The 25,230-nt window shown below is 43.5% G+C and overlaps 1 long non-coding RNA gene across 2 annotated transcripts in view, besides 1 other annotated feature; it reads right to left on the minus strand.

Annotated features, from left to right (window-relative positions):
* LINC01115 (long intergenic non-protein coding RNA 1115) overlaps window positions 1-25,230 on the minus strand; it is an 88,587-nt gene that overhangs the window by 19,049 nt on the left and 44,308 nt on the right. For both annotated transcript variants that reach the window (NR_111963.1, NR_033880.3), the window contains one exon: window positions 7,141-7,361. This is a non-coding gene — a long non-coding RNA (long intergenic non-protein coding RNA 1115). The remainder of the gene's footprint in view (window positions 1-7,140; window positions 7,362-25,230) is intronic.
* Window positions 21,547-22,080: an enhancer, noted in NCBI's record as "H3K4me1 hESC enhancer chr2:816439-816939 (GRCh37/hg19 assembly coordinates)". NCBI's record gives its function as "activates a minimal SCP1, AML or CMV promoter by ChIP-STARR-seq in naive H9 embryonic stem cells {active_cell/tissue: H9 hESC(naive)}" and the evidence as "EXISTENCE:reporter gene assay evidence [ECO:0000049][PMID:30033119]".

Raw genomic sequence — 25,230 nt, forward strand, 5'->3', positions numbered from 1 at the left:
TGTACTCTGTTTATTGTCTCATCTTTTGGCCATTTTTTCAGTCGGATTATTGGTATTTTTATTACTGAATTGTAGAATCCATTTAATCATTTAAAAAATGTGCTTTATGATAGCAACGAATTTCATGATTTGTCCATTTCCTTGGAACCATGACACTTTTAAAATATTGATCAAATTATAAATTTTAATTGTTCTACTTATAGTAATACTTGGAAACATTTCTCATTCTGAAACCATAAGAAAATATCTTCATGTTTTTTGGTGCTTATATAGTTTTAGATTTTACATTTAAATATTTGATTCGAAAACAGTTTATTATGGCATAAACTGTGAGTAAATGATTTAACTAATCTTTTGTTAAAACCACAACCATATTCTTTGCTGCAGATGACAGGGCTTGTTAATACCATGCTTTTTCTCTAAGTTCGAAATCCAACTCTGAAGTATTCCGGGCCAGGGTTTATTTTTCTTGTCCCCGCCATGCTAACATTTGTGTTATTCAACTGCATAAAGCACTGATAATTAAAGAGAAACCTTTTGAAAACTAAAGGAATTTATTTTGCTATTTACTAATTTTTATAAGTTATTTAGTTGAATAGGATTGTTTCTAAGTTTTAGGTAAAAATTAAAAAATAAATAAATAAAATAAAATAGGGGGGAGGAGCCAAGATGGCCGAATAGGAACAGCTCCAGTCTGCAGCTCCCAGCGTGAGCCACGCAGAAGACGGGTGATTTCTGCATTTCCATCTGAGGTACCGGGTTCATCTCACTAGGGAGTGCCAGACAGTGGGCGCAGGTCAGTGGGTGCGCGCACCGTGCGCGAGCCAAAGCAGGGCGAGGCATTGCCTCACTCGGGAAGCGCAAGGGGTCAGGGAGTTCCCTTTCCTAGTCAAAGAAAGAGGTGACAGACTGCACCTGGAAAATCGGGTCACTCCCACCCGAATATTGCGCTTTTCCGACGGGCTTAAAAAAAGGCGCACAACGAGATTATATCCCGCACCTGGCTCGGAGGGTCCTACGCCCACGGAGTCTCACTGATTGCTAGCACAGCAGTCTGAGATCAAACTGCAAGGCGGCAGCGAGGCTGGGGGAGGGGCGCCCGCCATTGCCCAGGCTTGCTTAGGTAAACAAAGCAGCCCGGAAGCTCAAACTGGGTGGAGCCCACCACAGCTCAAGGAGGCCTGCCTGCCTCTGTAGGCTCCACCTCTGGGGGCAGGGCACAGACAAACAAAAAGACAGCAGTAACCTCTGCAGACTTAAATGTCCCTGTCTGACAGCTTTGAAGAGAGCAGTGGTTCTCCCAGTACGCAGCTGGAGATCTGAGAACGGGCAGACTGCCTCCTCAAGTGGGTCCCTGACCCCTGACCCCCGAGCAGCCTAACTAGGAGGCACCCGCCAGCAGGAGCACACTGACACCTCACACGGCAGGGTATTCCAACAGACCTGCAGCTGAGGGTCCTGTCTGTTAGAAGGAAAACTAACAAACAGAAAGGACATCCACACCAAAAACCCGTCTGTACATCACCATCATCAAAGACCAAAAGTAGATAAAACCACAAAGATGGGGAAAAAACAGAACAGAAAAACTGGAAACTCTAAAAAGCAGAGCGCCTCTCCTCCTCCAAAGGAACGCAGTTCCTCACCAGCAATGGAACAAAGCTGGACGGAGAATGACTTTGACGAGCTGAGAGAAGAAGGCTTCAGACGATCAAATTACTCTGAGCTACGGGAGGACATTCAAACCAAAGGCAAAGAAGTTGAAAACTTTGAAAAAAATTTAGAAGAATGTATAACTAGAATAACCAATACAGAGAAGTGCTTAAAGGAGCTGATGGAGCTGAAAACCAAGGCTCGAGAACTACGTGAAGAATGCAGAAGCCTCAGGAGCCGATGCGATCAACTGGAAGAAAGGGTATCAGCAATGGAAGATGAAATGAATGAAATGAAGCGAAAAGGGAAGTTTAGAGAAAAAAGAATAAAAAGAAACGAGCAAAGCCTCCAAGAAATATGGGACTATGTGAAAAGACCAAATCTACGTCTGATTGGTGTACCTGAAAGTGACGGGGAGAATGGAACCAAGTTGGAAAACACTCTTCAGGATATTATCCAGGAGAACTTCCCCAATCTAGCAAGGCAGGCCAACATTCAGATTCAGGAAATACAGAGAACGCCACAAAGATTCTCCTCGAGAAGAGCAACTCCAAGACACATAATTGTCAGATTCACCAAAGTTGAAATGAAGGAAAAAATGTTAAGGGCAGCCAGAGAGAAAGGTCGGGTTACCCTCAAAGGGAAGCCCATCAGACTAACAGCGGACCTCTCAGCAGAAACCCTACAAGCCAGAAGAGAGTGGGGGCCAATATTCAACATTCTTAAAGAAAAGAATTTTCAACCCAGAATTTCATATCCAGCCAAACTAAGCTTCATAAGTGAAGGAGAAATAAAATACTTTACAGACAAGCAAATGCTGAGAGATTTTGTCACCACCAGGCCTGCCCTAAAAGAGCTCCTGAAGGAAGCGCTAAACATGGAAAGGAACAACCGGTACCAGCCGCCGCAAAATCATGCCAAAATGTAAAGACCATTGAGACTAGGAAGAAACTGCATCAACTAACGAGCAAAATAACCAGCTAACATCATCATGACAGGATCAAATTCACACATAACAATATTAACTTTAAATGTAAATGGACTAAATGCTCCAATTAAAAGACACAGACTGGCAAATTGGATAAAGAGTGAAGACCCATCAGTGTGCTATATTCAGGAAACCCATCTCACATGCAGAGACACACATAGGCTCAAAATAAAAGGATGGAGGAAGATCTACCAAGCAAATGGAAAACAAAAAAAGGCAGTGGTTGCAATCCTAGTCTCTGATAAAACAGACTTTAAACCAACAAAGATCAAAAGAGACAAAGAAGGCCATTACATAATGGTAAAGGGATCAATTCAACAAGAAGAGCTAACTATCCTAAATATATATGCACCCAATACAGGAGCACCCAGATTCATAAAGCAAGTCCTGAGTGACCTACAAAGAGACTTAGACTCCCACACATTAATAATGGGAGACTTTAACACCCCATTGTCAACATTAGACAGATCAATGAGACAGAAAGTCAACAAGGATACCCAGGAATTGAACTCAGCTCTGCACCAAGCGGACCTAATAGACATCTACAGAACTCTCCACCCCAAATCAACAGAATATACATTTTTTTCAGCACCACACCACACCTATTCCAAAATTGACCACATACTTGGAAGTAAAGCTCTCCTCAGCAAATGTAAAAGAACACAAATTATAACAAACTATCTCTCAGACCACAGTGCAATCAAACTAGAACTCAGGATTAAGAATCTCACTCAAAACCGCTCAACTACATGGAAACTGAACAACCTGCTCCTGAATGACTACTGGGTACATAACGAAATGAAGGCAGAAATAAAGATGTTCTTTGAAACCAACGAGAACAAAGACACAACATACCAGAATCTCTGGGACGCAATCAAAGCAGTGTGTAGAGGGAAATTTATAGCACTAAATGCCCACAAGAGAAAGCAGGGAAGATCCAAAATTGACACCCTAACATCACAATTAAAAGAACTAGAAAAGCAAGAGCAAACACATTCAAAAGCTAGCAGAAGGCAAGAAATAACTAAAATCAGAGCAGAACTGAAGGAAATAGAGACACAAAAAACCCTTCAAAAAATTAATGAATCCAGGAGCTGGTTTTTTGAAAGGGTCAACAAAATAGACCGCTAGCAAGACTAATAAAGAAGAAAAGAGAGAAGAATCAAATAGACGCAATAAAAAATGATAAAGGGGATATCACCACCGATCCCACAGAAATACAAACTACCATCAGAGAATACTACAAACACCTCTACACAAATAAACTAGAAAATCTAAAAGAAATGGATAAATTCCTCGACACATACACTCTCCCAAGACTAAACCAGGAAGAAGTTGAATCTCTGAATAGACCAATAACAGGAGCTGAAATTGTGGCAATAATCAATAGCTTACCAACCAAAAAGAGTCCAGGACCAGATGGATTCACAGCCGAATTCTACCAGAGGTACAAGGAGGAGCTGGTACCATTCCTTCTGAAACTATTCCAATCAATAGAAAAAGAGGGAATCCTCCCTAACTCATTTTATGAGGCCAGCATCATCCTGATACCAAAGCCGGGCAGAGACACAACCAAAAAAGAGAATTTTAGACCAATATCCTTGATGAACATTGATGCAAAAATCCTCAATAAAATACTGGCAAACCGAATCCAGCAGCACATCAAAAAGCTTATCCACCATGATCAAGTGGGCTTCATCCCTGGGATGCAAGGCTGGTTCAATATATGCAAATCAATAAATGTAATCCAGCATATAAACAGAGCCAAAGACAAAAACCACATGATTATCTCAATAGATGCAGAAAAGGCCTTTGACAAAATTCAACAACGCTTCATGCTAAAAACTCTCAATAAATTAGGTATTGATGGGACATATTTCAAAATAATAAGAGCTATCTATGACAAACCCACAGCCAACATCATACTGAATGGGCAAAAACTGGAAGCATTCCCTTTGAAAACTGGCACAAGACAGGGATGCCCGCTCTCACCGCTCCTATTCAACATAGTGTTGGAAGTTCTGGCCAGGGCAATTAGGCAGGAGAAGGAAATAAAGGGTATTCAATTAGGAAAAGAGGAAGTCAAATTGTCCCTGTTTGCAGACCACATGATTGTATATCTAGAAAACCCCATTGTCTCAGCCCAAAATCTCCTTAAGCTGATAAGCAACTTCAGCAAAGTCTCAGGATACAAAATCAATGTACAAAAATCACAAGCATTCTTATACGCCAACGACAGACAAATAGAGAGCCAAATCATGAGTGAACTCCCATTCACAATTGCTTCAAAGAGAATAAAATACCTAGGAATCCAACTTACAAGGGACGTGAAGGACCTCTTCAAGGAGAACTACAAACCACTGCTCAAGGAAATAAAAGAGGATACAAACAAATGGAAGAACATTCCATGCTCATGGGTAGGAAGAATCAATATCGTGAAAATGGCCATACTGCCCAAGGTAATTTACAGATTCAATGCCATCCCCATCAAGCTACCAATGCCTTACTTCACAGAATTGGAAAAAACTACTTTAAAGTTCACATGGAACCAAAAAAGAGCCCGCATTGCCAAGTCAATCCTAAGCCAAAAGAACAAAGCTGGAGGCATCACACTACCTGACTTCAAACTATACTACAAGGCTACAGTAACCAAAACAGCATGGTACTGGTACCAAAACAGAGATATAGATCAATGGAACAGAACAGAGCCTCAGAAATAATGCCGCATATCTACAACTATCTGATCTTTGACAAACCTGACAAAAACAAGCAATGGGGAAAGGATTCCCTATTTAATAAATGGTGCTGGGAAAACTGGCTAGCCATATGTGGAAAGCTGAAACTGGATCCCTTCCTTACACCTTATACAAAAATCAATTCAAGATGGATTAAAGACTTAAACGTTAGACCTAAAACCATAAAAACCCTAGAAGAAAACCTAGGCATTACCATTCAGGACATAGGCACGGGCAAGGACTTCATGTCTAAAACACCAAAAGCAATGGCAACAAAAGCCAAAATTGACAAATGGGATCTAATTAAACAAAAGAGCTTCTGTACAGCAAAAGAAACTACCATCAGAATGAACAGGCAACCTACAAAATGGGAGAAAATTTTTGCAACCTACTCATCTGACAAAGGGCTAATATCCAGAATCTACAATGAACTTAAACAAATTTACAAGAAAAAAACAAACAACCCCATCAAAAAGTGGGCAAAGGACATGAACAGACACTTCTCAAAAGAAGACATTTATGCAGCCAAAAAACACATGAAAAAATGCTCATCACTGGCCATCAGAGAAATGCAAATCAAAACCACAATGAGATACCATCTCACACCAGTTAGAATGGCAATCATTAAAAAGTCAGGAAACAACAGGTGCTGGAGAGGATGTGGAGAAATAGGAACACTTTTACACTGTTGGTGGGACTGTAAACTAGTTCAACCATTGTGGAAGTCAGTGTGGCGATTCCTCAGGGATCTAGAACTAGAAATACCATTTGACCCAGCCATCCCATTACTGGGTATATACCCAAAGGACTATAAATCATGCTGCTATAAAGACACATGCACACGTATGTTTATTGAGGCACTATTCACAATAGCAAAGTCTTGGAACCAACCCAAATGTCCAACAATGATAGACTGGATTAAGAAAATGTGGCACATATGCACCATGGAATACTATGCAGCCATAAAAAATGATGAGTTCATGTCCTTTGTAGGGACATAGATGAAATTGGAAATCATCATTCTCAGTAAACTATCGCAAGAACAAAAAACCAAACACCGCATATTCTCACTTATAGGTGGGAATTGAACAATGAGATCACATGGACACAGGAAGGGGAACATCACACTCTGGGGACTGTTGTGGGGTGGGGGGAGGGGGGAGTGATAGCTTTGGGAGATATACCTAATGCTAGATGACGAGTTAGTGGGTGCAGCGCACCAGCATGGCACATGTATACATATGTAACTAACCTGCACAATGTGCACATGTACCCTAAAACTTAAAGTATAATAATAAAAGAAAAAAAATAAATAAAATAAAATAAAATAAAGTGAAAATGCTTTGGTCCCTAACCCTCATTTTCCATGGAAAGGATCACTGCTCCTTGGAAAAATGGCTGGTTCTATTTCTGGTGAAGACAGGCACAAAGTGAGCCACAGCATCATGTTACGCCAGGAGAAAACAACAAAACAAAACAAAACAAAAAACCCCTCGGAGACAACTCTTGCTTCAAAGCCACAGGATGTGTGTGAGAATAGTCACAGCAGCAGACGAGGAAACTAGGAAGTCCCACGAGGAGTAAAATGAACAACAGTGTTATCCATTCTCACAAGGGATGATGGAGAGCCACAGGGATGGCCCGTGAGATGCTCCACACATCAGTGCAGGTTAATTTTACACACATGATGTTGAGCAGGGAAGCCAGACTTAAGACTGAACACTGTATGGTCCCATTTGCATAAACAACAAAACAGACAGAACTAACCTGTGTGTTCCACAGCTGGGAACTGGCTGTGCTGGTGGATGGATGGCAGGAGCAGCAGGAAGGATATTCTCGCTGTGGGCCCCACTCCTGGCCCACAAATGTGCTCAGTTTGCAAAAATCCATGGAGCTGGAAACTTGCGATGCCTTCCCCTTTCTGTGTGATGTTTTCTGTCATCAAAACTTTCTCGAGAACACGCAGGATAGAACATGAACAGCTTCCCCTGGAAAAGAATGGGACTGTTTTAACATCAAGAATAATGATAACCTTGAGGGACTCTAAACACATCTATAGTTTAAATCCCATGAATTATTAATCATTCTCAACAACACCTAAAATCAAAGGAATCCGTGATCACTTTTGGGAAATAACAGAGGAAAAAACCTCATAATTTTGAAAATGGAGAGAAGGGAAAAGCATTGATCCTGCCTTTCGTATAAAAACTGTACCTCAGGGCGAGGAAAGAGTCAACAAGGGGAAGTTTCTCTTCATAGAAATATTTCAGCTAATAAATAAGAAAAGATGGTAACATTAAAATATTACAAATTTGCTACCCATGATGCATTAATATACCTATGTGGTGATTATCAAGGCTGCTTACATTAAAACATGAGACACACTAGATACTGTATTGTTCCACAGTGGGGAGGTCCAGGTGCAACTGCCCTCAAAGTCCAAGGAAGCTGAGAGGCCAGAGAAAGAGGCCAGAAAACCTGGTTTTTCAGAAAGAAACATTTAGTAGGAACTTAGGGACAGAAGCTGTGTCTGCAGCCAGACAAGATGGTGGATCCCCACCCATAACCTCCAGGCCCAGGGCCTCTGAGCCATGGTGAAGGGGTGGTTCAGAAGGCATGGGTGGGACAACTGAAGTACAGCAACATCAAGGTTGTCTGGACCCAAGGGCACGATTTATGGTAGATACTTACTCACACACAAGGAAAAGAGTGTTACCAGCCACGGGTTCTTACGCTCCCATGCAACAGAGAGGTCACGGGGCCATGCATGTTCCCCAGAGGAGGCTTTGTCAGGAGTCTGTGCTTGAATACGAGGGGACAGCACTGGAGAGAGAGGTCTCGGGCTGGCTCCCCGAGGGCAGGTCTTTTCGGTGTGTTAGGAAGGATGTCAGAGATAAGCATGAAGCATGCGAACATCATTACATGTGTGGGACAGAGCTCGGGGTGCATGGGCACAGTGAAAAATCAGGCTGATACATACATCGTGCATAATAAATAACACCTATGCCCCTCCTGGGTGGGGATTTTACCATTCTAATGAGGCAAGAGGTAAAGCTCAGCCGTTCTTCTGGTCTTGTGCACATGCCAGTGATAGAGGTGACTCCCGTGAGTAAGGTTTCCAGTGGAACCCTTGTTAGCTTGGTTTCTCCAGGGTCTATGGAGACAGTGGGGGTGGTGGGGCGAGCTCAGGTGCTTAGCTGATGTGCATGGGAAGACACATCAGTGGGAATGGGCCAAGTTCCTATGGGGGCCAAGTCCTGTCCTTATGCTGTCTCAAGATAAACTGGAAATCTTAGAGGACTTCCTGGAACTGGAGTTAATCGAAAGTCAACATGGCAGGTTGTTATCCAAGGTGGAGCTGCTTCAGCCTCCACGTCTGCCCTTCTTGACAGTTGTACACAAGATCACGATAAATACTCTTGCCAAAAACATCAACCATGAATACGGTTAAGCATCTTGATCTATCCATTTACTGGAAGTATGGGGAACAGAAAAAAAAAGTACTTAAAAAAATGAGAACTATGATCGCTAAACTAGCTAATAGGACATCCATATAACAAAAAATCCAGTTTCTTCAACAACAGCAAAAAAAAAAAAAAAAATGTAAGGGGAAAAAAAAGAAATGAAGGAGGAATACCTAGAGCAGTAGAGTCTTCAGGGATATTTTAATTAATAATAATTCATGTAACGTGTTTGAATTGTTTCAACTGCACAAACTATTTATTTTTTTGAGACAGAGTCTCGCTTTTTCACCCAGGCTGGAGTGCAGTGGCATGATCTCAGCTCACTGCAACCTCCGCCTCCCAGGTTCAAGCAATTCTCCTGCCTCAGCCTCCCAAGTAGCTGGGACTACAGGCGCGAACCATCATGCCCAGCTAATTTTTGTATTTTTAGTAGAGACGGGGTTTCACCATGTTGGCCAGGATAGTCTCGATTTCTTGACCTTGTGATCTGCCCACCTCGACCTCCCAAAGTGCTGGGATTACAGGCATGAGCCATCACGCCTGGCCTTAAAATGTATTTTAAATTCATTAGAATGATTATAGAAATGTGAGGAGTGCTTGAATATTTGATGATATTAAGAGATTACTGTGGATTAATTTCAAGTTTGATAATAAATTGTCACTATGTTTAAAGGTGTTGGTGTGTCTTTTGAATATACATGTAGAAATATTTAGAAATATGTGCAGAAATATACATTGGAATTACTAGCACAATGGAATAAGGAAACATACAAGGATATTCACTGGCACATAATTTGATCAGGTGAAAAGGTAGAAAAAATATAAGTATCCAGATAGTACAAAATGGACAAAAGAATTGGTACAGCGATAGAAAGAAGGCTAGACCTAGGCCAAGGTATTGAATGAGGTCATCTTGGGCAAGGGGAGAGGGTGAGAAGCAGAGGAAATGAGATGGGCTCTGAGCTGATCAATGCTCAAGGCAGGTCATGGGTAAATTAGAGTTAATTATGCCATAATCTCCCCTAGGTATGTATTTGAAATTTTCCACAATAAGGAGTTATATAAAAATATAAGAATAAAATAATTTTATTCAAAGAAAGATTAGGAGCTCCAATCTCTCATTTGAAACAATTGAAAAAATCTAAAAGACCATTTCAACCAGAAGAGAATTTGACCCTAAGAAAAGGGTCAGTGTCTGCAAGCAATGTGAGGACATAAGTCAGCAACAAAACAAGACGTTGCTGAATTGAAGTATTTTTTTTATAAAAAAGTGTGAAAATTTTGTTTTTTAAAGGCAAAACAAAACAGTAATCATAGTTCAACATTATTTATGAACACAGATACAAAAAGCTTAAATAAAATAAATAAGTCATACGTAGCTGTTTACAAAGAAACATAAATCCATCTTGAGTAATTAACACTTATCTCAGGAATACAAAGATTATTCAAGAGCTAAACAACCTATCATTTACCTTCTTCATTACCTTAACAAATTGAAAGGGTAAAAAATAAAAGCCATTTCAACAGAAGAAAAAAAATTGATACAATTCAACCAATCAGTTACAATACAAATATTTATAAAATAATAATAAAAGAGATTTCTTAAATTTGATTTTTTAAAAAAGTATCTACCACAACCTTATATCAATCCTTTAATAGTGAAAAATTACCTTCATTTCCACTTAAGGCAAGACTAAAAATGTCTTTTTTATAAATTTTCATAAATTTCAAAATTTTACTGCAGGTGTTAGCAAGTGAAATGAAGCAAGTCAATGGGAATATGGGGGAAATATTCATTATTTGTGAACACAGTGGTTCTCTAAATAGAAAATACAAGTTAAAAATACACTATAGAAATTGCATATCTAGCCAGATTTTAGTTTGGGAAGTTATTTGCAATGTGTAATACAGCATTAGTATCAGGATTACATAAAGGCCATCTACTCATCAAATACATGGAGACAAATGAGAAAAAAAGGAAACAGACAAAGAATGGATAATTCACCCAGGAGAAAATAACCAAATAGATAATAAGTTTATGAAAAAAATCAGCATCACTGTTAATTAAGAGTACAGACATCAAAGATGTAATTTCTTAGTTATTTGCTTTAAAAAAATAACAGATATGGGCAAGTAAGTTATCATGGATGTAGAGAAAATGAACTCTTATAAACAAGATGTTGGAGTAGATATTTATACAACCAGGCTGAAGAGCCATTTTACAGTGTCCATTAAAATTTCAGTGTGCATCTGCTATAACATAGCAATTCCAGCTTTAAAATATATCTTAGAGTATCACTAATATATTTATATAAGGAAATATATTCAGATGTTCACGTTAGGGTGGAAAAGTAGAAAAAAATCTACATATCCAAATAGTAAGAAATGGACAAACTGCTTTCTGAGAAGCACGATGAGCCATTGGGGCAGATCTGACCATTATGTGCAAAAATCTGTGCTTCAAAATGATTAGAAAATTGATAAGCCCTTAGGCAAATCGATTAACAAACCCAAATTTCCAAAAATAAGTCATTATGTAAGAGGAGGCACCAGTAGAGATCCTAGAGACATTAAAATTATAAGGAATGTGATAAATAGCAACATAGATGAAATCATCAAATTCATTGAAAATATAATTTACAAAGGTGATGAACAAAAAATACAAAATCAGTATAGCCTGAAATTTGAATTTGTTAATTAAAACCTTCCTACAAAGAAAACTCCATCCAGATGGCTGTGAGTTCTGATTTCTAAGACTCCTTCAGTACATAGAGCTGGGAAAGCCTGCTGCAGGTTGTTTATCTGAGGACAGGGATCCACACCCCTGTGGAGTGCACCTGTGCCTAGTGATAAAACTGTCACATGATGAGGACCTGTGGCCCCGTGCAGCATGGGTCTTGTTAGACACAAGCTCATGATGACAGGACATGTGGGAAGATATTTGACAGTCAGTAAAACTCTGCAAATCCTGTGTTGAGATGTTCAGGGAACAGTTTATAGTTTATGACTGGAAAGATAAGAGAAAGAACACAGAAGGGAACCCATCCCCTGGCACCTCCATACCAGCTTACTGTGTTCTTCCTGCGTGTTTCATGTGTGGTTAGTTAAGCCTCTTTTTTTTTGGAATGGAGTCTTGCTCTGTGGCCCAGGCTGGGGTGCAGTGGCACAATCTTGGCTCACTGCAACCTCCGCCTCCTGGGTTCAAACAATTCTCCTGCCTCAGCCTCCCAAGTAGCTGGGACTACAGCCATGTGCCACCATGCCCAGCTAATTTTCTTTTTTGCATTTTTAGTAGAGATGGGGTTTTACCATGTTAGCCAGGCTGGTCTCAAACTCCTGACCTCAGGCAATCCATCAGCCTCAGCCTCCCAAAGTGCTGGGATTACAGGTGTGAGCCACCATGCCCGGCCAAGCCTCATTTGTTTTCAATGGACATACTAGTTTTTTTATTGCTGCATAACACATTACCAAAAACTTAGAAGCTCAACACTCTTTTATTATCTCACAGTTTCTGTAGGTGAAAAGTCAGGGTTCAGCTTAGCTGTGTCATCTGCTCAGGGTCTCAAAAGGCTACAGTCCGGGTGTTGGCCAAGGCTGTGGGCTCATCAGAGGTTGAACTGGGGAAGGGAAAGGTCTGCTTCCAAGCTCCTTCGTGTTGTTGGCTGAATTCATCTCCTTGTAGTTGGAGGACTAAGGTTCTGTTCTGTTGTGGATGTCAGCTGGGGGCTCCTTTCAGCCAGCGGATACAGCTCCCCTGCAGTTCCTTGCCATTGACACCTCCAGAGGCCTCTCATGATGCAGCAACTCACTTATTCAAGGCAGTAGTGGAAAGAGAGTCCTTCTGGTGAATGTGAGCAAGACAGAGCTATATATGAATATGGTCATGTAACGAAGAGAGTGATTCCCATCACTGCTGCCATTTTATATTGGTTAGAAACAAGTGACTGGTCCCACCCACACTCAAAGGAAGGGATTATACAGTCATGAAAATGTGACGCTGCTAGGGTCTGGTCTGTCCACCACATTAACCTCATTTTGAAGAATTTCATGAGTCCCAAGGGTCACCGACAGCCTCCCCAAGGCTCTACCTGTGAATAGAGGCCTCCCAACATCATGAGTCCCAAGGGTCATCGACAGCCTCACTGACACTCTGCCTGTGAATCAAGGCCTCCTAACGTCATGAGGCCCAAGGGCACCAACAGCCTCACCAACGCTCTGCCTGTGAATCGAGGTCCCCCAATGTCATGAGGCCCAAGGTTTACTGACAGCCTCACCGATGCTCTGCCTGTGAATCAAGGTCTCCCAACGTCATGAGTCCCAAGGGCACCGACAGCCTCACCGACACTCTGCCTGTGAATCGAGGTCTCCCAACGTCATGAGTCCCAAGGGCACTGACAGCCTCACCAACACTCTGCCTGTGAATTGAGGTCTCCCAACGTCATGAGGCCCAAGGTTCACTGACAGCCTCACCGACACTCTGCCTGTGAATTGAGGTCTCCCAACGTCATGAGGCCCAAGGTTCACTGACAGCCTCACCGACGCTCTGCCTGTGAATAGAGGCCTCCCACCTCAACATTCCTTTTCAGTATGTCCTCTTTTCTTGTCCTTTTATTTTCCTGTTTTATTTTGGCATAAATTAGTAAATTTTATTATGCATTTCGTCCTTTTATTGACTTTTTGACTGCATTATTTTTTTCAGTGTTTTCTCTTAAAATTATTATATCCATTTTTATTTTTATGGTCTACTCTGATGTAATATTGTGTGACTTCATCTACAGTAAAATAACCTCATGCTACTATAAATCCACTTGTCTTCCCTGCTATCTGCAAGTGTTGCCTCACATTTAAATTTTATGTTATAAAACTATCTTTTCTATTTTTGTTTGAAATAACCAATTAATTTTGAAGAATTTAAGCAAAGAAGGAAAATAATTGTTTTTATTTATTTTCATATTTATTATCTCTAGTATTCTTCATTACTTTATGACACCATTTTTCATCGGGTATAATTTCTCTTCAGCCTGAAGAATTTTCTTTAGCGTTTTTTGAAGTGTGGATCTGCTGGCAACACACTCATCCAGCTTTAATTCATCTTAAAATGTTTTTATTTACCCTTCATCTTTGAAAGATAGTTTTTCTAGATATGTTTGTCAGTTGAAAGTCTTTTTATTTTTGGTGACATTTTCTTCTTTTTTTTTTTTTTTTTTTTTTTTGAGACGGAGTCTCGCTCTGTCGCCCAGGCTGGAGTGCAGTGGCGCGATCTCGGCTCACTGCAAGCTCCGCCTCCCGGGTTCACGCCATTCTTCTGTATTCCATTAGTTTTGTGACAAAGCATCATTAGTCAGCTGTATCATTGTTCCTATCAGGTGGCTCCTAAGAGTCCAGCTTATCTTCAGCTTTCAGCCTCTGGCCTCTGACGGCTTGCTGTGTTTCCTGGAGCTGAGAATCACTGTTTCTGATTAAGTTATTTTCTACAAATGTTTCATCCATTTTGATGTGTTATTATTCTCTTCTGGGGCTCACATGGCCCATGAGTTCCAGCTTTTGATTCTGTCCCTGGCACAGTTGACATGGTGTTGCTTTTTTATTATTTTTTTTCATCTGTACTATGCTTGAATTAGAATGTTTACTGACATGCTTTGGTTTTTATCAATCCAATTGCATGCATGTTAGACATTTTATCATGTCCAGTATGCCTTTCATATGGTGTCTGCATTTTTTGGCTCTCTGTTCTTCAACTTCAGTATTTTCTAACAAAGTAACTTCTACGGCATTGATTCTTCTTTGCTCTGCCCACTCTGGCATTTACATCCGGTGAGCTCTTCATTACAGCGATTGTCTCCTCGATTCTAGAATTTCTATTTGCTTCTTTTATATGGATTCCATCATTGTGGTAAAACTATCCGTGCTATTATCTATTTCATGTGTGTATAAAGCTGTCATTTAAATGGCCAATGTTAATGCCAATATGTGGGCCATACGTTACACCTAAAGTGGAGATTTCAGTTACCAGGAGGCTGGCGTGTGGCTTGCAGGAGGCTCTGATTATCCCACTCACCCCTCAGGGCAAGGGCTTCCAGGGTACCCTTAGAGCAGGGGCTTCCAGGGTACCCTGAAGGAGCCTATGGGATCCCTGGGGCCCCTCACTCTTCAGAAATCCTGGTCTCAACTTCCACCTCCAGCACCGCCCAGAATCCAGTCTGATTTGCAGCTCTGTTCTCTTGGGTTTCTTAGCTTCTTGATTCACGGAGGTTACACATTTTTAAAATGCCTCAATAGAAAGACAACACTGATAGGACCATCACTTTTCTGAGTCTTATTTTCTTAAGATCTGAAACCATGAGACCTGCCTAATTTGCATATGCATGGATGCTCCCCCCGATTTTGTCCAAATGTTTTAGTTGTCTTGGCAAAGTATTGGTGTTCCTCCAGACATTCCACAGTAACTGGAATGAGAACTTCCTGGTTGCATACTGAGAAAGGAGGACTTGGACAAAGGGAATTTGAGCCCAGACATTCAGCAGTAACTGGAATGAGAACTTCCTGGTTGCATACTGAGAAAGGAGGACTTGGACAAAGGGAATTTGAGCCCAGAGGCAGGAGGTGATTATGAGTTCAGCTTTGACACATCTTGGTGGCATACCAGTGAATATGCCATTCAAAGAGTCACACATGGGACCCAAACTCTCTGATGAGGACCCAGGGGGAGACACATTTTTAGGAATTAATAGCATTGGGGGAGGGGGTCATCAAAATAAGGCAAAGCACTAAGATCACTGGGATAGAGCTCCTGGGGAGAGGGGAGGATGCAGCATCATCCCCGTTCTGGGCAGGTGGACCAGGAGCGGGCAAAGCAAACTGGACACACAGACACCGAAGAGCAAGGAAACCGGGAATGCCAGTAGCTCCAATGTCCAGAGACGGACGTGTATTAGCAGATCAAATATGGCCGTTTGTGGGGAATGTTTACATCAAGCGCTTACACCTCACATACAGCAAGGGCATGAGTGAGCCTTACACGTAGGCCAGAGGCCTGTTCCTGCTCTGAAAATTCCAGGGCGGCACAGGAGTGGGGGATCAGAGAGAAAGTCGGTCTGGAATAGGGAGACTGGGCTTCCTACCCATTAGGGTCCACTGAGATCACTGAATGGGAGTGGCCAACTGAGCGGGTTGATTTTACCCATAGTGTTTTGGGATGTTACACAGCCCTCCCTTAGACTGTGGCCAGACAAATGAATTTTCCTATCTCAGTCACCACAAAGGTCAGAGGCCAAGTCCTGGTGATTCTCTAAACTGCTGTCCCGTGTGGTTTGGGACCTGGGGAACGAGGGGGCACCGCAGAGGGTGTCTGGTCCATCACTCCCGAGTATGTGGGCCTGGCTCACAAATGCCGCCCATGGAATGAATACCAAAGGGAGCTGTGCTTTGAATTGAGATCATTTGCTGGGGTCACTTATTAATTTGTCCCAAAATTTGCTCTGAAACTAACATCTATGAGAGGCACTCTGTAATAGTTGTGTGCTTTTTCTTTGTAATTAAAAATCAAAACCAAAAGCTGTCCAACAACTAAAATCATGGGCATTCCCTCCAAGCAGAGAGTGGGCATCCGAAGGCAAGGAACACTCAAACTGCAATGACAAAAATGTTGTTTCAGTTCCATCATGGGCATCAGTGGCAAATCGGATGCTGTGATGTGGAAGGTGGAGCGGGTTCTTACATGGTCACCCTGAATGGTCTGGTCATCAGGACATGAAAGCCCTTGGGCCCTGAATCAAAAGCATCAGCAGTCTCTGATGATCCTGAAGACATCATCTTTACTATAATAATCTTGTGTTTATTTCTCTTCTCATTTGAATTTATTTTATTGTCTTTATTGTATAAAACAATCTAGATTTTTGTTCAAAGTGTTGACCATTTTATAGGCTTCCATCATCATTTCCAGTTAAAAGAATATTTTAAACTATGATGTGAACTATATTGATGAGTAAATTCTCAAACACCAAATGCAATGACATTAAATATTAAAAATTCATGCACATGGTTTCTTGAAATAAATAATGCACAAATTTGGCTTTTTATATTTAAAGATCATACATTTCTAATGTGGATTTCCAAGCTTTTATTATATATTATTAAGAGTAAATTATTATAACTAGATGCATCCCATCGTTCATTCTGACCCTCTTTGAAGCACATCATGGCTCAGTAGTGCCTCTGGCAAAGAGTTGGCAGAGGAAAGAAGAAATCCCAATTTTCTATTTCAAGTATTGACTTCAAGGCTAAATCACTCATTCAACCCATGCAGGTGCTGTTTAGATCTGGAACAAAAGGGATTCTTCATGCCCAAAGCTGGGACTGTGTTTATCAGCCTGCTCTTAATTTCCATATGGCAATATGGTCCAAAATTCGGACTTCAAACTCTAACGCATATGTTAATTTTCCTGTCCTAATCAGAACATAACCTTTAATTATATGAGTCAAGGTCTCATTTTTGTCTATTGTTTTAATTCTTTGGTTGAAGATAATTACTGGGATCTGTCCTCGAATTAGTGGGTATCATAGATTGTAAGAGCCAAGAGGAAACGTCAGAATGATTGACTTCCTCCTTTTCAGGTGGTAAAGCTGAACTTTAGAGAAGAGTGTGACCTCCCTGTGGCCAAGACAGATCAGAAACCTGGCCTCTGGGTCAGGGCCCGGCAGTCCCTCCCTTGAGCCTGCATGGTGAGGAGGAGGGTGCAGTCAGCCGCAGACTTGGCCCAGGTGTATGGGGTGCACCCTGTCTGCCTGTCAATGTCACTCTGGGTCTGCTCTCAAGTGGGTGAGCACCAAGGAAGGGAGATGCGTGCCCAGCCTGGTGCTCGCAGGGAGCCCAGTGCTTGCAGGGAGGGGGGCTGGTCAGGGCAGCTGCTCTGGGGTGGCTGGATGGGGAACTGGACTCCAATGTCCACACATGTAATTGAGAGACCCCTTAAGGTACAGTTAGGAGAGTGGGGAGCAAAGAAGAGAAGGACAAGGCCATGAGGCCATTCCAGAACCTCCCGTTGCCAGTGCCAGAAGACAAAATTACAACAAGTTTAGATTAAAGATCTTGATCAGTGTTGAGAATGCCCATCCCAATGAACCTAGCAGAGGAGGCTGTGATTTTATAGACAGAAAAGGAAGCGGGAAACACAACACAAGGGGGTTGTCTCTTTTATAAGAGTAGAACAGTCGAACAAGAGTAGAGCAGTAGAACAGACGACCGTCTCTCGTAAAGGACTCCGGTGGGTCTGGTTACTTTTCTTGTCAAGGTTGAAGCAGAGGAACCTGCTTACCATGCCCGCTAGGACCGGCCCATTTGGAGATCTGGCTTCTGTGGGCTTTCTCCTGATGTCTCCGGAGGTCAGATAAATAAATCTCTCAGCTCCTCCTTTATGGTGTGGGACCTGCGGCTCATTCCGGTCTGGTCGGCTGGGCCCTGTGCAGCAGCTTGTTCCAGACTGAGACCTTCCACAGAGTTCACTTAGCTCCATATCAAAGGGCAGAGATGCCAGGGGCCTGGGGATTCTCCAGACAAGGTTTACCTTCCCAGCATAAGGAAGGGATATTGGGCAAGGCAGGAGGATTATTTGACAGATTGTTAGTGCAGACAAGGACTTTCACAGAGGCAAATATATGGCATTTAAACCGTGTCTGTGCTCCTGTCCCAGATGCAAATGTGGCCAGAACTCTGCCCAGACATTCCCACACCTGGAATTAGTCAGACCATGTGCTGCTCCACCTTGAAGCATTGTTACCCAAATTGAAATGTGGCGTTTCTTGTTATTGTAATATTAGCACAAGGATGAAACCCTACCATGGAAGCAACCCAGGGAAGGGCCTGTGCACTGTGTACCCTCTGCCACCAGAGGAAATGTCTGCTGGGTGTGCTGCAGACTTCCGAGGGATGACACAAGTTTTGTGGGGACTGAAGCCTCATCTTTCATAATAACACACACATGATGCACATTCATGCATACATACATGCAGGACACACATGTGCACACACTTTCATGACACACACATGCACTCCAGATGCTCATTCATGCATACACACACGCAAGACACACAAACACACACCTTGCACACACATAAATGACACATACAAAAATGCACATTCATGTATACACACATGCAGGACACACACATGCATATGTGATGCACATTCATGCACACAGGATACACATGCACACACATACATGACGCACACAGCAATTCATGCGTGGACACACACTAATGCATGCATGGACACACATATGCATAGTGTACAATTCCCTTTTGTTTCTCACCATTAAAAATAATCCCATAATGCTTTAACTGATTTAAAATCCATTCAAAGGGCTGACAGTGGAAGACGTCTGATGACCCAGGTTCAGAGGCCCCCAGGGATTCTGGAGAGCAGAGACCTGGGCGCCTCTCTCCTGCCCACATGAGACAGAGACTCCAGAGTAGGCCAGGGGACCAAGAAGACACATGCTCAGAAGAGTCTGAAAGGCCGATGCGTGATCTCTCTCCATCTGCACCCCTCGCCCCACCCAGGCCATATCTGCCTGGGCTGCAGTGATTCCCCTGGGGCATCACCCCTTATGGTCCTGTCTCCACAGAGCTGCCAGATGATCTTTCTACAAGACCTAAATCAGATGTCATGTCTTAATTGAAACCTTTAATGGCTTTCCACTGGACTCAGGATTCTTCTCCCTGATTTATAAAGCTCCATGATCTGGCCCCATCTGCATCCCAGCCTCCCCCGGGTCCACCTCCCTGGTTTCATATCATGATCCTCTTTCTTGTCTTTTTTTGATACTAAAACAAAAACAAATACACTACCAATGTGAACGGTTGGCTTTTTGAGAAGATAAACAGTCAACAAAACTTTACCTGGACTAATTAAGAAAGACTCAAATAAATAAAACGGGAAATGAAGGAGGAGACCTCATAGCTAACACCACAGAAAGACGAAGGGTCAGATGACCAGTGTAAACAATTATGCCACAACAAACCGGACGGCCCACAGAAATATGAAGGGTCACACGACCAGTGTAAGCAATTACACAGCAACAAACCGGATGGCCCCAAAGAAATGGACAGATCCATAGACACATACGACCTGGCAAGACTGAACTATGAGGAACAGAATGTCTGAGGAGACCTAAATAGTACAGAGATTGGATTCATAATTAAAACAAAAAAAAATTTCCATCAAAGAAAAGCCAAGGAAGGGCCTAACGGCTTTACTGATAAATCCTACAGGCATTTAAGGAAGTAACACCCATCCTCCTCAAATGCTTTAAAAAAACTGAAGGAGAGAGGACACTTCCTAATTCATTTTATGAGGCCAGAATTATGCTGATACCAAAGCCAGATGAGGACACTATGAGAAAAGATGTTCTGCCCGGGATTTCTGAATCAGCTGCTCCATCCCCCAGGAAGGTCCTCACAGGCAGTCCCAAGACGGCCACTCCTGTGGTGCCGGCTCTGCATCCATGTCCACCTGCAGGCTCAGAGGAGCCCCGCACCCTAATCTGCAGTGGCCGCCAATCACCCCTCCTGCTTCTCTGCCGTTAACGTCCACCCTGGGCTTGCCGGGTCCTTACGTTTCTGTTGTTGGTGGCCTTGTCCTCACCGGGCATCCCCTTCATCTACACGGAAGCCCCTGAGATGAGGGACACAGCCAGGGTTCTCACTGCTGCAGGCCCTGCACTCAGGAGAATACTGGGCATACAGTAGGTACTCAATTAATGCTGAATGAATAAGCGCATGGTGCACAGTGAACCCTCAGATATGGGAAGGACAGAACAGGCCATTCTGATGCTCATTCCAGGCCCTACTGTGGGGTATCTTTTGTGTCACAGAGGAGCTTATCTGAGGGCCATGGAGATGCTCCGTGGGCCATTCTCTGATTTTGAGGAGATCAGGCTCGTGGAGGGGAGCCCGGCTGGTAGGCTGGAGCGGGTGCTTCTTGGCCCTGTTGCTGTCAGAGTTCCTGCCTTTCCCTCTATTCATAGCTGCCTCCTTTATGAAAGTCTCATTAATTTCACACTCTGAAACTGCGCCTCCAGGCACCTTGCTTGTTAGAGTGGAATCATGCTTTGAATGCGACTATCATTACAAAAAGCAAAACTCTAGTGGCTTTCTAAGGCTCATGTTAGAAACTCTCCTTTGCAGAAAACAGACCTTGAGATGGAGGAGTCAGAGGCTCTTTGTGGCTGCTGTTTGACCCTCACTGGGGAAGGGGAGCCATAAAATTGTCACGGGCCCACGGAGGCCTTCCCCGGTCCGTTGCCCTGGACTATGACAGAGGCCACATAAGCAAGTCCACAGGCACCACCCACCCAGCTGAGTAGGTAGGGAAGGTTGTCTGGGTCAGCTGAGACCCAGCACAGGTGTGTTTCACGGTCTCAGAAACTCACGCCAACCTGCATCTCAGAAATGCAGTCCCCTCCACAATATTCTGGTGATGATTAATGATTGCAGATACATTAATTTAGTGCATATATTCCTTATTATCACATCTCTGCACTCAGCCCTCAGTGCCACATCCACGTCTCTGCACTCAGCCTTCAGTGCCACGTTCACATCCCTGCACTCAGCCCCCAGTGCCACATCCAAGTCTCTGCACTCAGCCTTCAGTGCCACGTTCACATCCCTGAACTCAGCCCTCAGTACCACGTCATGTCTGCACTAGCCCTCAGTGCCACGTTCACGTCCCTGCACTCAGCCCTCACTGCCACATCCACGTCTCTGCACTCAGCCTTCAGTGCCACGTTCACGTCCCTGCACTCAGCCCTCAGTGCCACGTTCACGTCCCTGCACTCAGCCCTCAGTGCCACATCCACGTCTCTGCACTCAGCCCTCAGTGCCACGTCCACGTCTCTGCACTCAGCCCTCAGTACCACATCCACGTCTCTGCACTAGCCCTCAGTGCCACGTTCACGTCTCTGCACTCGGCCCTCAGTGCCACGTTCACGTCTCTGCACTCGGCCCTCAGTGCCATGTTCAATATTCCAAGTGGAGCCCTCACAGCACAGGTTTTCTCACTAAAATCCTCATGTGGGAGGTGCACGTCAGTCATAAAGTGCTTGCTGTTAGGTTGGTCATATTGGGTCCCGGGTCCCTAACACAGCTGTGGCCATTCCTGTCTCTTCTTCACGAAGTCATCAAAATAGCTGAAGGCTTAGAGCAAGCACAAAATCTTGTGTGGCCTCCAAACACAAACAGGGAACGCTGTGAGGATGTTGAAAGGGAAGGGGTGGGGTGGAGCACGTGTCTTGAGCCTCCCGCTGGTGCACCACAGAGGAGAGACACCGAAAGACGGTGAATCGGATCGAGTTTGATGCCGATGGATGAAGGTACCTGTGCAGGTGTCGCAAGCCCGGCAAAGACAGAAGACAAATGTCGAGCTCTCCCAGCTTCTGCACAGAGCCGTTCAGATTCGGGAATTAATTTAATCCTCTCCACGACTATTAGTGGAAAATGGTATCCTCATCACATAACGAGACACGCTGAGGCTTCGGGAGCCCAGACACACTTTAACGGGAGTGAAGGACAAAGCCTGGGCTCGAATCTCAGGCTGTGTGCGCCCTCGGCTCACTGCGTTTTCAGCACCAGGCTCTAGTTCAGTGGGAAGGAGAAGTCCTCTCCTGTATATTCATGGAAAGCATTCATCGCCACACACACCCTGTAAACATGCCAGCCACGACTCTAAAACACAGAGAAAATATAGGCAAAGACAGGCGTGTCTGCTTTGAAAATCACGTCAATTTGTACCTTCAGCTAATACCTGGCCTCAGCCAACTGACGCCCCGAGTCTTCTCTTTTGTTATAGAAAAGGTTGACTTCAGTTTGTTCACCAGTCACAGAATTGTGAAGCGGTCTCCTGGCGATCCTCACTCAAAGCCAGCATGGCACGGGGAGGGAGGGGTGGCCCCGTGACATGACGGCTCCAAAGCAGATGCCTGGTGGACCCGCGGAGGGAGCGGTGACCGGGCGCCAGGTGCCCACGTGTGGCTGTGGCTCAGCGGCCTGCAGGCTGGGCTTGGCCCTCTGACAGGGATGGGGCCGTCCCCCGGTCCGACCACCTACACACTCGCTGCAGAGCAGTGCCTGGTTTGGGCATCTGGAGACAAACCAGCGTGGCCAGGTGGGCTGGGAACAAACCCAGATGCACGTCCTCCCAGTGGCTTCCTGGGAACACTCAGACCCCAGCTTCCATCCCGGGCACCGCCCTCATGCCCTGCCAGCCTCTCTGGTATTGATTAGATCAAAAGCAGCACTTTGTGTAGGGTGATGGAACCTTCTAGGACATGAAAATCTCTTTCTAAGCAAAGGTGACTGTGAACAGTGCATCATCTGGTTCCTTATTTAACGAAGAGTTTCAAGTCTTTGACGAATTTTGTCATTTATCACGTTTCTATCAACCCCTGGCTATCCACATCCTCTGCCTATCATTTATGTTCAGCAAAGCATCTATTCTTATTCTGAATTATGACCTCTTCTGTTTACTGACTTACTGTTCTTCTCAGCCACAGAACATACACTCAAGACTTCAGCTCTTGCCTGCCCTTCACCATCCAGCTCCACACTAATGTGTGGCACATAGAAGCTGCACAGTAAATCTTTGTTGGCTTATTAATTAATTAGTAGTTGTTTGGAAGCTATAACATAATTTCCCAGGAATTAGTACTGTAATCCTATCCCTACAAGTTCACGAGAGACAATTAAATTTATAATATAACAAATACAGAATGCTTGTGGTGAATATAATTTTGAGTTTTTTCTTTAATCAAAATGAAAAGCTATATAAGCTTTTGTAGGACAGCGTGCCTCACTCTGGGTCAGAACTGAGCATATTAATTCATAAAAGCCTCTTTTCCAGGGTTCTGGTGGGAGTCCCACTGCCTCTGGAACCGTGGTGGTGAGCAGGTTTTCAAAACTCTGGTTCCTTCTACTAGGGATGCAGGAAGCTCCAGACTTTCCCTCTTCTTTCTCATGGGATCTACTACCCAGAGGTCAATAGTGAGCCTCGGCTGCTGTTGAGACAGACAGGAGGGACAGAGTGCCAAAACAGTAGCAGCATCCACTAAAGGAAAATAAAGGTCCTTGAAAAAGTCAAACTTACAGGTAACCCAATTATATCCAGAGAGTAAAGAAACAGTGATTCTCATAAGTTAGAAATGGTTACATTAATTATAATAATAAAGAAATGATCTGTGTGAACCACAGGAATAAGAGATGGAAGACGCGGTGGTCTCTATACACCAGCAATGCTCTTCGTACCCTTGGGTGCCATGTGGGCATTGCCGAGTTAGAGGGTGCCATGCTGCAGGTGCCGCTCCACACCCTGCTTTCCTCCCGGTCGTGCTTCCCATGCCCCGTGCCATGAGCACCTCCTGCTGCAAGGGCAGGGTGTTCCTGTGAAATAGTCATATGGGGTGGGAGATGAATGCACTTCAAATTCTCTAGGATCTGTCATTGGGAAAAGGGTCAAAGTGCCAATAGGCAGAAACCACCCAAATATCCATCAGTGAACAAAAGTAAAAATGAGATGTGGCTTAGCCACGCAAAAGAACATCATTCATCCATAATCTAGAAAACACTGTGCCTAATGAGAGAGGCCAGATGCAAAAGACCTCTGAGCCTCTGTATATGTATGGAAGTCTAGGAGAGGAGTGTCTGTCCAGACAGGAGGCAGCTTAGTGGCTGCTGAGAGCTGTGGGCGGGGGAAGGAGGGACAACAGGAGAAGGGCAGGGGTCTCCTCTTTTTCTCCTGGAGCTGATGAAATGATCCAGTTGAGGGTGGGGATGGCTGCACGTATTTGTGAATATACTCAAAACCATCGAATTGTATAATTTAAACATGCAAATTGTATGGTATTTGAAGTATAGCTCAATAAAGCTGTTTCCCAAAAAGCTGATGGAACAACAAGAAAAAATAGACACATTCACATGGCGAAACATGGTATGGAGAGAACATATAGTTTTAAATCCATATATTAGAAAATCACAAAGGCTGAAAATCAATAAATTTTGTGTGTGTATTTAAGATTTGTTTTACAATGGCATTAACAAAAGCAACAGAATCTATGCAAGACCAGTATGCTCAAAGTCATGAAATGTTTTTTAAAGAAATTAAAGAAATAAGCAATGTTTGGATTCTGGAAGACTCAGCACAGTAAAGGTAAATAACCTCTAGAATCAAGGTCATCTCAGTGACAATTCCTGCAGGCCTTTTCTTTTGTGGACATTGACAAACTGAGTCTAACATAGAGGCAGAGACAAGGCATGGCCTGTAATCCCAGTGCTCTAGGAGGCCGAGGCCAGACATTCTAGACCAGATGGGGCAACATACTGAGATCCCATCCCTATGAAATATAAT

This window comes from Homo sapiens, chromosome 2 (genome assembly GCF_000001405.40).
Source record: "Homo sapiens chromosome 2, GRCh38.p14 Primary Assembly".
Classification (NCBI taxonomy): domain Eukaryota; kingdom Metazoa; phylum Chordata; class Mammalia; order Primates; family Hominidae; genus Homo; species Homo sapiens.